Genomic DNA, 13,008 nt, shown 5'->3' on the forward strand with positions numbered 1-13,008 from the left:
AAAATAGTGCTCTGGATGGGGCTTAATCTACTTAATTGTAAATATTAGAATATAGGTGAGCTTATTTTCTTTCCCAACTTAATGCAATGATACACACATATGCGGTTTTTCAATTAAAGGATTATTTTGTTGAAACTGAAAAATTAATGTAATATTTAAGTCAAATTTCTATCTGTAAGTTATAATACTCATAATTTATAATTCTATTTTAATACTCATAAAACTTCTAAAATTTTATCTATAAAGTCCTGTTCATATATATAATATACACGCATCACAAACATTCATGCACTATTTTTTATTTTTTGAGACAGAGTTTCACTCTTGTTGCCCAGGCTGGAGTGCAATGGCGCGATCTTGCTCACCGCAACCTCCACCTCCCAGGCTCAAGTGATTCTCCTTGCCTCAGCCTCCCTAGTAGCTGGGATTACAGGCAAGTGCCACCACACCTGGCTAATTTTGTATTTTTAGTAGAGATGGAGTTTCTCCATGTTGGTCAGGCTGGTCTCCAACTCCCGACCTTAGGTGATACGCCTGCCTAGGCCTCCCAAAATGCTAGGATTACAGGTGTAAGCCACCGCACCTGGCCATATTCATGCACTATTTTTATATTTTACTTTTAACTTACTATTCTATCAGCCAAAGATTATCCAGAACCAACTGATAAACTAGAAATGTCAAAATGCGGAAAATATAGTTCCTGTCCTCATAAAGCTCTCGTTCAAGTTGGAAAATAGACGTATACACTTTAAAAGGTGTGGCTTTCAATAACAGTTATTTAGGGTAGGGAAACAGTGTAGAGAAGAGTAAGTTACACTGTGTGTGGGATGGGTAGGAATCACAGTACACTTTCCTCAAAGGGGATCCATGAACACCATGGAGTTATTTTTAAAAGTTATATGGCCATGCATACAGAAATATAACTGAACTCAACCTCTAGATGGGGAGTCATTTCATCATATCTACTTCAAGTGAATGGATTCCATTATTGTGTATGGTTACTACAAGTCTCCCAGAAATCATAATATGATTTGGTTTTAAAAGCATAACAAGAACCCTAAAGCTTATGTCAAAAATAAAGTGGGTTCAAGAACAAAATCTGAAATGAAGAGTTACTAGGAGATTTACTTGAACTGTTACTTTCTTACTCAGTATTCAGTCCAGGTTTAAGTCCTTCAGCATCTGACATTCTCCTGGCAACTGTAATTGAATCAATGATGACTCATCTGAGATGAGCAAGTTGGTCCAGTCAGACCAAACAAAAGACATTCTATAATCAGGGGAGAAGTCTTCTCTATATCTCTCTTATATGAGCAAGTAAGTAAGCATTATTATTATTGCTTTGTGGTTTCGAAACTGTGGGCAAATATATGTAAAATTTACCATCTTAACCATTTTTAAGTGTAGGGTTCAGTAGTGTTACATACATTCTCACTGACGTGCAAGTGCTCTCCAGAACTCTCTTCATCCTGCAAAAACTGAAATTCTATACCCATTAAACAACTCACCTTCTATGTCTTATAGTTCTGGAAACATAAAAAGGCATCTAGTTTTATTTATAACATTTCCTTTATTTATCAACAGCAACGATATGACATTACAAAGTGACCCGTGACATCTTTTTTAATCTTGCACACGCACTGCAGCAAGGTTAATCCTGTATGTGAAAACCTCTGAGTGACTATCTCAAAGTGTATATGTCATATAACCTGCTGAGTTTTCTGATATTGTAATACTAGATACAAGATGTCTGAATAACTCCTTACATTTATAAATTCTTATTTAATTTTATAGCTTTAATGCGGTCCATCATTTCTAATAATGATATTGGCTACAAGAATAATGATCATATTATTTATCATATAATTTACCATTTGTAAAGCAACAAATTGCCCATTAACAATGAAATTGTAGTTACAGCATCTAAAATTATTAGAAAATTATATTAGCATGGAAATATGTTCATGATATATCACTGAGTGAAAAAAATCTGGCTACCAAATATGTAGTCTGACTCATTCTTATTTCAAATAATAAAAAATATGTGTATGTTTGAAAATATGCACATTAGTATTTGTATTTTATATATATTATGTACATCATTATATATATATGCATACATATTTGTATATACACACAGATAGCACAGGAGAGAGACAGAGTGGGAGAGAGAAAGAGGAGGGAGGAACTATCTCTTCCTTTTTTCTCAGCTTAATTTCAGCTACAGGAGAAAGTACACTAGAAACTAATTAACAGGAAGAGTACAAAATAATATGTTAGTTATAACTATCTTCAGGAGATGAGAACTGGGAACATGGGTGACTTTTGCTTATTTGCATTTTCTAATTATTTAATAATTATATAATTATATTATCTCTCTCTGTAATTTGTGTAGTAAAACATCAGTTTTATATCCAAATTTTTAGTCATTTATAATAAAAGGTATATTAGCATATGATTATTTTATCCTTAGCCCACAAATAAAACTCACACCACATTTCCTAACACTATGGGCATTTTGGAACACAGTCAATAGTGTCACCCAATAAAATAAATCTTGAATGGTTGATTTTAATACACTAAACATTACATGAAAATATATGCTATCAAAAAGCAGACATTAATATCTTCTTAATAATTTTTAAAACATCCTAAATTTAATACCAAGAATTTTGCCTACCCGAGTTAACATTATACAATTACATGTAATATACATATTCAAAATGGCATAATCACATGAAATTTTAAAGTAAAAATAACTCAGAGAAACTTCCAGTTTAACATTTACACAGCATTTTATTATCCTATTAGCCAGTGTAAATGCAAACTAGGAAAGTTGATATCTTTCTTTTATGTAAAAGGAAGCATATGGGTTTAAATACCTTTTTATATAGCACTATCAAAATCGGAGTCAAGATTAAATTAGGGAAATCTAAGTTTCTTTTACTAGTTTATTCTTGGGAATGATTATAACTAACACGTAATTTCCCCTACTTTGTGAAATTCCTTTTCTTTATTGTATCTTAGTCCATGACACAGGATTTAAGAAACTTCATTATTTCCCCTCACTTTAAAGTGTAGGTACCCAAATAGCTTTGATCTGGTGGACAGTTATGAAGGCAGCAGTGGAGGAGTAAGGAGATAAATAAGAGGACATGAATCAACTAAATTAATAATAACCACAGTTCAAAAGTTAGTGTGAAAGTTTTATCAATATCGAAATTGTGGAATGGTGAGCAGAATACAACTGGGACCCCTGATACTGAGATCTAACTCTAGATGTACCATAGTTAGTTGTATGAGATTGGACAAGTCAAAGTACTTGACAATCAGTTTCTTCAACTTAGAAATAAAACAGTTTAGGCCAGGTTTATTAAAGTATTAAAACCCCTTTCAGAGGCATAGTTCTATAACTCTAAGGAACATAAGACTGTGGATACCTATCTACTGTCAGGTACTGCTTTGGCAGCAGTGAAAATATCAGTTTCAATATAACTTTAAACAATAAATGGACTAACACTTTTGAAGTATGAAGCAAATACAAACCACTGGAATATTTTTATCCCATAAATCGTTACTTTCTTTCATTAAGAAAACTTTAACCTCTTGATCTAAAATGCCATATTGCATCTTTTAAGTTAAATAGCATTACCACTTTCTTCATTATTATGAAATTTAAATTCTGTATACTACTTTATTATTTAGTATTAATATTTAAATTTATCCACAAATGTGCTTTCTAAGGAAACTTGTTTTAAGTAATGTTTTAAAATATTCATAAAATTTGTTTTCTTTACTTTGAGATCTCTGCATTCTTTAAGTGATCAACGCAATTTATAAAACCGGAACTTTTATATGAAAGTCTATATACTTTTAATGTCCTTAATTTGAATTAAACATTCCCTTATAATACAAATTAATGTAAACCTAATGAGTAAATATCTATATTGACATGACATACTTCCTAAGGAAATATGGGAAAATCATACCTTTTAAATAGGTAAATGTATATTCAAGAGAATATTACCAAGCTTGATTCTCTCCCTTGGATCTTAGGAAGTAAACAACAGTACTGTATTTTCACCCACCTCCCCGAACTCAGCTTTATTTGTGCTAGAAGAGGTGATTTTATTCAACTAGTTAATTTCAGTGCAGGTTGCTGTAAACAGGAAATAATATGTTATTTATCATAGTAAGACAAAAAAAATTTGAAGTGAATGACTTGTTGGGTCTATGCAAACACCTCATCCTACCTCAGAAGCAATCCTAAGAAATTAATACTTACTTAGCTTTCTTTTTAGGAAGGCCCTAATACAAGGCATCTTTCTGTTTTTTTGTTTTGTTTTGTTTTGTTTTGTTTTTTTGAGTGTTACAGCCTGGACTGGCCAGCAAGACAGAAATTTCTTCTTCCTAAAAATGTGTAATGTCAAATAACCATTATCAACCCTATCTATGTTAATGTTCGCACACTCATGAATGGGGAAATGTAGGGCTCATGGTAATAAATCAATAATGACAACAATGAACATTTAAGTCCTTATTATGTGTCAAATAGTTTACATTAATTAACTCGGTTCTCACAACAACCTAAGAAGTAATAATGGTTAGCCACTAAATATGATAATGTAGAAGAAAATAATGGAAAGTAAATAAATAATGTGAAATCTATAAGATACACATCCATGATCTCACATCCCCAAAAGTAGCTGTACCTTTTTCAGTTTTTTTCCTTTTACTTCCCTGGAATTTGTAAATATCTTTTCAGCTCTAAACAGCTAATACAATAAACACTTTTAATCTATTTTGGCAGGCACTGTTTTTGGTACTATGGGGGACACAGGAATGAGTAAGAGAGGTCCTAAATTCCATGCTGATACTACATATTGCTGATAATCAGATCAATTTCATAAAGTATTACAGTTCTGGCCATATAGAAAGGGTTCTAGTTTTATCTATGAAATTTCTCTTAATTGTCTATAGCACTGATACAATCTTACAAAGCTGCCTATGACATCTTATCTTGCACATGCACTGCAGCAAGAAGGCTGATGCTCAGTATGTGGAACGTCTGGAGTGATCATCTCAAAGCCTTTGTCACATAACTTGCTGAGTTTTCTGATATTCTGATAGTAGTTATAAGATGCCTGAGTAACTCATGAAATCTTATGGATTTTTATCTCACTTTATAGATTTAATGACCTCCACCATCTCTAAGAACAAGCAGCTATTTCTGTAGAGAAAGATCATCTTTGGATAACAATACATGATTTTAGGCTCTAAAAGTTAAAACGTGTTTGTAACGTTGATATTATGCAGAGGTCTTGACAGAACTTGGCAGTCTCTGAGGCTACAGAGAAGTGTGAAAAAGAGCATAGAGATTTCAGAAGGAGGCAGATTCAGTCAGACGTACTGAATCCCGTTTGATCTCAACTCAGGCACACTCCAGATGGACGGTAAGTTACTTGGTTTATCTGAGCGCCAGTATTTTTATATGTAAGATGAAGCCGGTAACACCTACCCTGAAAAGTTGTTGTAAAGATGTTAAATACATTTGTAAAGGTCCAGTAGAGATTATATATTAGATGCTCAATAAATAGGAACTATATATTCTCATCCATCATCTCCTCATTGCACAACTGACTAATGCATTTCAGCTCCGTGAGCATACACTTGGTCTGTCTTAAACCAGATGACCAGGTCAAGTATGAGACCAGTTACTACGAGGACATGCAGAGATCAAATAAATAAATAAATAAAGGCTTTGTGGACATTGTCAACATATTTACCTTCCCATACAGCTGTCTGCTGAATATAAGCTATAAAACAGGACTAGCTAAGATGACAATAATTGCCTAAATCACCTTTATGGCTTTAGTCAGGAAAATAATTATAGTGATAATGACCTTGAACTCCTGTGGAATTTCCATAACTAATACATAAGTATATCACTACTGTGACATTGATGTCTTTTGGTATCACTGAAATAATAAAGTGAGATAGAATTCAGAAAGAAAAATTTCAGAGGTGGACTCATTATAAAGTACCTATGATTATCACATAAGCCTGGAACAGATAAAGTACACTCATATTAAAACATAAGGCAAAATTCTTAAATAAAAAGCCTTGATGATTAGAGTTCTACTGAGCTACTGCCTCAACTGATGAAAATTCTAACTAGCACAGTACAAATGCAACTGCTTTGAGCTAAACATCAGTTTCAGAAGGAATAATATATGCGCACTTCCCAGCGACCCTTCATTTAAAAACCTGAATCTAGATTCACAATCATCCACAAAAGGAATAATTTCTATCATTATGGTACCTAGATGATTTCCTTTTTATTACTGGAATTAAATATACTTAAATAACATACAGAGCTTAATGAAAAAGATCATGAATCACTCCACCATAAGAATTATCAGGACATGATAAAATCTTATGTATCTTAATGGTAAAAACAATCTGATTATTAGGTCTTTGTTTGAGGCAGTTTATCTACAGTTCAAAAAAATGCTTTCACTGATTACATTCCAAAGTATTTCTTTCATTGTCAGCAGGAGTGTCTGGCATTTAATTAAAATATATTCCTCTAACTATAAATAATTGAATGGTTTTAAATCTATGGCTAATATTGGCAAACCGATAAATAACCAAATAATGTAAGAACTAGAATTATCAAAACACTTTTGCGAACACAGTTCTGCTTGGAGGGCTCCACGGAGGAAGTGCCTCACTTTCAAGAAAGGAATGACGTTTCTTCTGTTTTCGTTCAATTCTTTCTTGTTTTTCCTTATTTTCCTAAAGAGAAAATAGAACACTATAAATTTATGTACATATATGATTATTATTTTCAAATCAGGTTGCTTGCTGAAGAACAAAATAATCCATTATAGGATATTTATATATCACTTCCTAGTTTAACAGATCATAAAGAAATAACAGGTAGGGCCAGGCATGGTGGCTCATGCCAGTAATCCCAGAACTTTAGGAGACTAAGGTGGGTGGATTGTTTGAGCCTGGGAGTTCGAGACCAGCCTGGGAAACATGGTGAAACATCATCTCTACAAAACAACACAAAAATTAGCCAGGTGTGGCGGTGCATGCCTATAGTCCCACCTACTTAGGAGGCTGAGATGGGAGGATTGCTTGAGCCTGGGAGGTGGAGGTTGCAGTGAGCCGAGATTGCACCACTGCACTCCAGCCTGGGCAACAGAGTGAGACCCTGTCTCAAAAAAACAAACAAACAAAAAATGGAAACAAGAAAAAAATTAGTAAACATTGTCAATTTGCAAGTACTAATATCACTTAATTTTTTAAACTTTAAAAGTGAAAACATTAAAAAAGAATTGTATAAAATAGAAAAAAAGACCTATAATTATAACTCAAATATAGTAACTGTTATAAGTTGGTGGTGACTTCGTGAGAACAAATTCTCAGAAGTAAGTTTACTGGGTGCAAAGTTTCAATATGTCATGACAGTATGAGATACTTCAAATTTTTTACAAATAGTTAAAAATTCTGCCTCATGTTTCTTTATTATTGAACTTGAGCACATTTTCAAACATTTCTTTAGCCTTTTGTAAATTTTCTGCTCAATTATTTGGCCCATTTAAATGTATGGTATTTGCCTTTAATTTTTAGTAATTTGTGTACTTTCCTATAATAAATATTAATGATATCTTTGCATCAAACATTTTGCCTACCTTTGTGAGTCATTTCTGATTGTTACACAATGTATACAATGTAGATGGAAACATCACACTGTATTCCATAAATATGTGCACTTTTTATGTGTCATTTGCAAATAAAAATAATTTTTTAAAATCCCAACACACAGATATGGTCCCTGTCCCCCAGGGAACTTTCAAAATGGACAGAAACAAAGAAAATAAACAACAGATAATTCCAAATTGTGTGAATTTCTCTGAAACATGTTTTAAAACTATGAGAAGGAATAAAAAAGAGTATTTACTTTCAACAAAAAATGGACTCAGGGAAAGTCCCTTTGAAGTGTGACATGATGGATAAGAGAAGCCACTCGTGATAAATATCGGGGAAGAGCTTTGCTTGCAAACAGTAGTGGTGAGGGCTCTGAGAGTGGGAAAAAAAATGTGTGCTGTGGGAGGAAACAAAAATATCCATTGTGACTAAGGCTTGGCAGAAGGCAGGAGACAAGAAATGGAAGAGGGGCACCAGGTGTCCCTTTATGTCTCTGCTAACACTATAAGGTTTGGTGGTTTCTTCATCTTGGTATTTTTCTCATATTCCTCAAGGAGCAGGAAAACCCTTAGTGAAACCTGCCTCTGCAGGTTGATGGCTTGGGAGGAAAGGCATTATGGAAAATGATTAGGTATGTATGCATCTTTTCATCAGTATATATATAAATGCCACAAGAATAATATGGCAATACAGGACAAGCTTTCCATTCACATGTAACAAACAAAGTGAAGTGGGAGGTTTGTTTGTTTTTTGTCAATGTTAACACCCATATCCTCATTCCATGTCATAAGAATGCTTGCATGTTTGTTTGCTTGCTATTTCTAATAAGGCAAAGAGGAAACTTCCTTTCAGAATTTTAATTGAGAAAAGCAAAGCTGTAATTAGATCATCTTCAATCATTTTAATATTTTAGAGACAGACCATCTAGCTAGGCGGAAGAAAAGCAGTGACCAGACTGTGTCCACAGAAATTGACTGAATAAATCTCTTTTTGTAATTTCACTTAACATGAGGGGGCAGTAACTTGAAATATGCTTCATCTTACTAGCAGGGAGCTGTAAAGCCAGGGTAGCAAATAGACAATTATATTAACTGTAATATCAGTTCAAAAGAATCAATAGTCACCTTGATAGTAATTAAAAGAACCTTGTTAAAAAGTCCTTCAGACATTTATTTGTGGAAAACTGAGCTTTTTGCTTATTTTCTTACTAAAGGTAATGATGAATTAATCTGGTAATTGGCAAGAAAAATATTTTAGTCTTACCTGATCTTTGGCTATTAACTTTCCCCTAAAGCAATTACCCACCAAATGCTTACTGTTCAAACTAGTTTGTATATAAAAAGCTTGAGATGTTGTTTTCCATGAAAACTGAAGTCATTAGACTCCTATACAGGGGCAATTTTTCTATTCTATCTGCAAACAAATTTCAATAAGAATTTGGTAAGAAGGAGAACCGATCTGTAACATGTATGTTTATGTGTTTATAGGTGTACTATATTTGCAGACATTTTACTAGATATCAAACATGTTATTTTGTCTTTGGTCTTTGAGGAATTCTTGTTCTTCAGAGGACTGATAAGAATGACAATGTAATTAAGTGCTATAATTAAAAACAGTATACCTAAATGTGACTTATTAAAGAAATTCTATTCCATTTTCATGAAGATATGGAATTAAAATGGAAAACTCAAATGTTTACATTTAATTTCCCTAATTGATACTAGCAGTCAGTGTACATCTTCTTAATATAAGTGGACTTTAAATTTTTTTTTAGAACATAGCATTATTTAACAGATTAACTTAAGGAAATCATCATGAAACACTACCTTTTTCATTCAAAATTGAACCAATTTTGATTACCTTATTTTATTACTATTTCTCTGCATCGAATTAGCATATAGCAGTACTAAACTCAACACACAGAGTAAATCCTGTTGGCTTTTGTTAAGATTGCATTAAATGACTTCAGGGAGAGCTGACATCCTTATAACATCATTATAAGGTTAAGTGTGTTTCTGTGCATGGGCAATTCTGATCCATTTTCTCAAGTCTTCATTTGTGTTGTTCAGGAGAGTTCTACAATTTTCTTTATGTTGGTCTGGCATGTTTCTTAAGTTTATTATTGTTTTATCTTTTTATCCTATCTTTAAATCGCTCATTTTGGTCCCATGTACCTTTCTAACTACTGCTGATTCTTAAGTTTATGGAAAAAATAAATAAACAAGACTGGTCAGAAAGACTGTGAAAGAAGAACTATAAAGGGAGATGAATCCAAGCAGATATTTAGACATATCAAGCCTAATAATGGAAGTGTGGCACTGGAATCACGAGACTGACCAATGGAACAGAAAGTTAAGAAACAGACCCGAAAACATGAGAAGGTATCATATAACAGAAGTAGCACCTCAAATCAATGGGTAAAAATGGGCTACTTTATAAAGGATACATTTGGAAAAACTAAAGTTGAAATCATATTTCCCACCATGTATCAGGGCAAATTCCAAGCAGAACAAATGTTAAAACATTAAGATATTAAAGTCACAAAGTTGTTAGAAGAAAAATAAGATAATTCTGTTTAATCTCAAATTGTGTAGGTCTTTTCAACTATGCTTGAAAATCAAAAGCCAAAAAAAAAAAACAGAAATCTGACACCTAAAATTTAAATTCTTCATGGCATGAGATACTATAAGGAAAGCCGGGAAACCAACAATATAGTGGGGGTAAATATTTGCAACCCATATAAAAAATGATAGGCTAATTTCCCCAGTACAAAACAAAAGATTCTAGAAACCAGTAAGGAAAAAAAACCAACAATCTAATAGAAAAGTGTGCAAAGTCTATGAAATGACAATTTACAGAGAAAATAATAGATAAATGGCCTGTATACAAATGAAAAGATATTCAAGCTCAATTCTAACCAGAGAAATGCAAATCAAAAACAACCTGGATGATTTAGTTGATTGGTATGAGTTGTTTTAAAGTTTGATAGGAAACCTGACTGGATAGACTTCTAGTGCAAAAATACTATAATTTTGGTTGCTGAATCATATGAATATGTTAACTATTCATATGAATGTGTTACCTACTTATGTAAAGTATTTATTCATAGTAATGTATTACTTATATAAACATGGACAAAATGCATATTTATATTGATATTCTAAAATGGAAAATAATATTTTGCTTGACATCAACAAAAAGTAACTTTTATAAAGATAAGTAAAGTGAAATCAAATATATACACATATCTGGTTCAGCTAGCTATTGCTCCTCCTAAACCTCAAACCTGCTCTCTTTCATTAAAAATTCCTAAATAAGAGATTCTCCTTGAGGTCATCAGAAACATCAAAAGAGAATAAAAGATGGAATAATTTTCTCACTATTAAGTTCAGTGTTACTTTTTGTCATGACCAAGTTCCACCACGTAGTACCCTCAATAGTAAACTTGTCTTCTTTCTATGTTAGATGTGAGAATCACAGCAAAGGAAGAATGGGCATGAATAGTAAATGGTAAATGTGGGGATGCAGGTAAGGAAGAAGATTATAACAAGTTTTCAGCCTGGGTGTTTGAGGGAATAGTAGAAACATTAATAGAAATGACTAAGTCAAAGAAAATATGCTATATGCAGGAGGAGAGCTTGAATTCAACAAAGCAGATTCCAGGTAGAAATGATCAGTAGGTCTGGAGCAAATAGAATTAGAATTAGGGACAGAAAAGACACAAAAGGTACATGAAAAAGACGAAAGTGCATTGACAAATAATACCTACCAGCCATTTTTCATATTCATTAATAGCTTGTTTATCTTTATCTTTTTTCTCAGCTCTTTTCAGTTCTTCCTTTCTTTTCTCATTTATTTTTTCTTTTTCCTTTTGCTTGAAAAAAGCTTCCTTTTTTTCATTCCTATAGAGCATAGTATAAAACACTGGAGAGTTAAAGGAAAATACATAATAAAGATTCCCTAGTACATCTTTGACAGTAATGAAATTGAAATGCATTACTAAATTTCAAGTAAATAAATTTTATAAAATCCTGAAGTGTTACTATAATTTAAAATATATCAAAATATTTATGATTTTGGATTACCATTTCTCAACAGCAGTTAAATTATCTTTCTTTTTCTCGGCAACAGTTTCCTCCTCTTTCTGTTTCTTTGCTCTTTCATATTCTCTCTCCTTTCTATTTTTCTCTTTAAGATATTCCATCTTTTTCTCTTTCCATTTTTCAAAAGCCTGAAAAAGTTCAGAATAATTTTCTTACTGTGAATATTTGAAAATAAATAAAAATATGGTTAATCATTAATTTGGATTTCAAATGTTTTAAAATAATTAAGATGTGCAAAGTTCTGAATACTTGTAGTGCTTCTCCTTTTCTTGCAGCATTTTCTTCTTCAGTTTTCTTCTTGTTTTTTTCTTCAAGCCTCTTTTTGGCAGCTATTTTCTTTGCTTCCTTTTCTTTCATAGCCTTCCAGGCCTCAAATGATGCTAATGCTTCTTCTCTTTTAGCAGCTTTTTTCTACAGTGGAAAAAATAATAGAGTGATATACATATATATGTATATATACATAGACACAAATATGGCTAGATATAAATATACACATATACATTTATCTTTAGTCCTCTGATATTCATTATACTTAGAAATTAACTTTCAAAGTAGGTAATTTATTTAGAATGGCTTAGATAATTTACAAAGAATGTTATCTGAATTATTCATTGGTTTTAAAACGTCCTTTTCTAAAAACATTTATCACATATTGACCTATTAATGAGAAAGATGTCAACTATTATTTTTGAAAGTGTACTAAACAAATTATATCAAAATAAACTGTAATAGGCTAAGTGGTATAGTAAAATTTTCATAATAAAATATTTGAAAAAAAAATCAGTAAAGTTATGGGCTTATAAAGTAAGTTAGAGTAAGGCAAATTGGCCAAGCCATGCAGTAAGATGCAGATTTTTGGTTTAAATCTTAATTTTGAATAGTATCAAAACATAAAGTTCTTACTGCACAAATGTATTCCAAATGTTGAAAGTATGTGCTCGACTGAAAAATAGGTTGGAGACTGTATAGCAAGTTATGTTATTATTTTACTTCCTTCAATCTAATCCCATAATATTCTATGTTTGCTTTATTGTTCAATATTAAATGACATAAAACCTTAATATTGGGGTAACATAATTTAGAGGTCAAAGTACTATCTACCTCACAGAGCTACGAAAATCAAATGAGAAGGGGTATGGCACTGACCACAGCAGCATACTGCTATGAACGTGGTTAACAGATAGAC

The 13,008-nt window shown here is 32.3% G+C and overlaps 1 protein-coding gene across 6 annotated transcripts in view; it reads right to left on the minus strand.

Annotated features, from left to right (window-relative positions):
• Positions 1 to 1,550: 1,550 nt before the first annotated feature.
• Positions 1,551 to 13,008, minus strand: part of MAP9 (microtubule associated protein 9) — a 34,308-nt gene continuing 22,850 nt past the window's right edge. For all 6 annotated transcript variants that reach the window (XM_011532255.4, NM_001039580.2, XM_011532254.2 and 3 more), the window contains 4 exons: positions 12,072 to 12,233; positions 11,805 to 11,950; positions 11,489 to 11,621; positions 1,551 to 6,798 (listed from right to left, as the gene is read on the minus strand). In XM_011532255.4, the coding sequence (XP_011530557.1) occupies positions 6,676 to 6,798; positions 11,489 to 11,621; positions 11,805 to 11,950; positions 12,072 to 12,233 (564 nt within the window). In that variant the 3' untranslated portion in view covers positions 1,551 to 6,675. The remainder of the gene's footprint in view (positions 6,799 to 11,488; positions 11,622 to 11,804; positions 11,951 to 12,071; positions 12,234 to 13,008) is intronic.

Source organism: Homo sapiens, chromosome 4 (genome assembly GCF_000001405.40).
Source record: "Homo sapiens chromosome 4, GRCh38.p14 Primary Assembly".
Classification (NCBI taxonomy): Eukaryota; Metazoa; Chordata; class Mammalia; order Primates; family Hominidae; genus Homo; species Homo sapiens.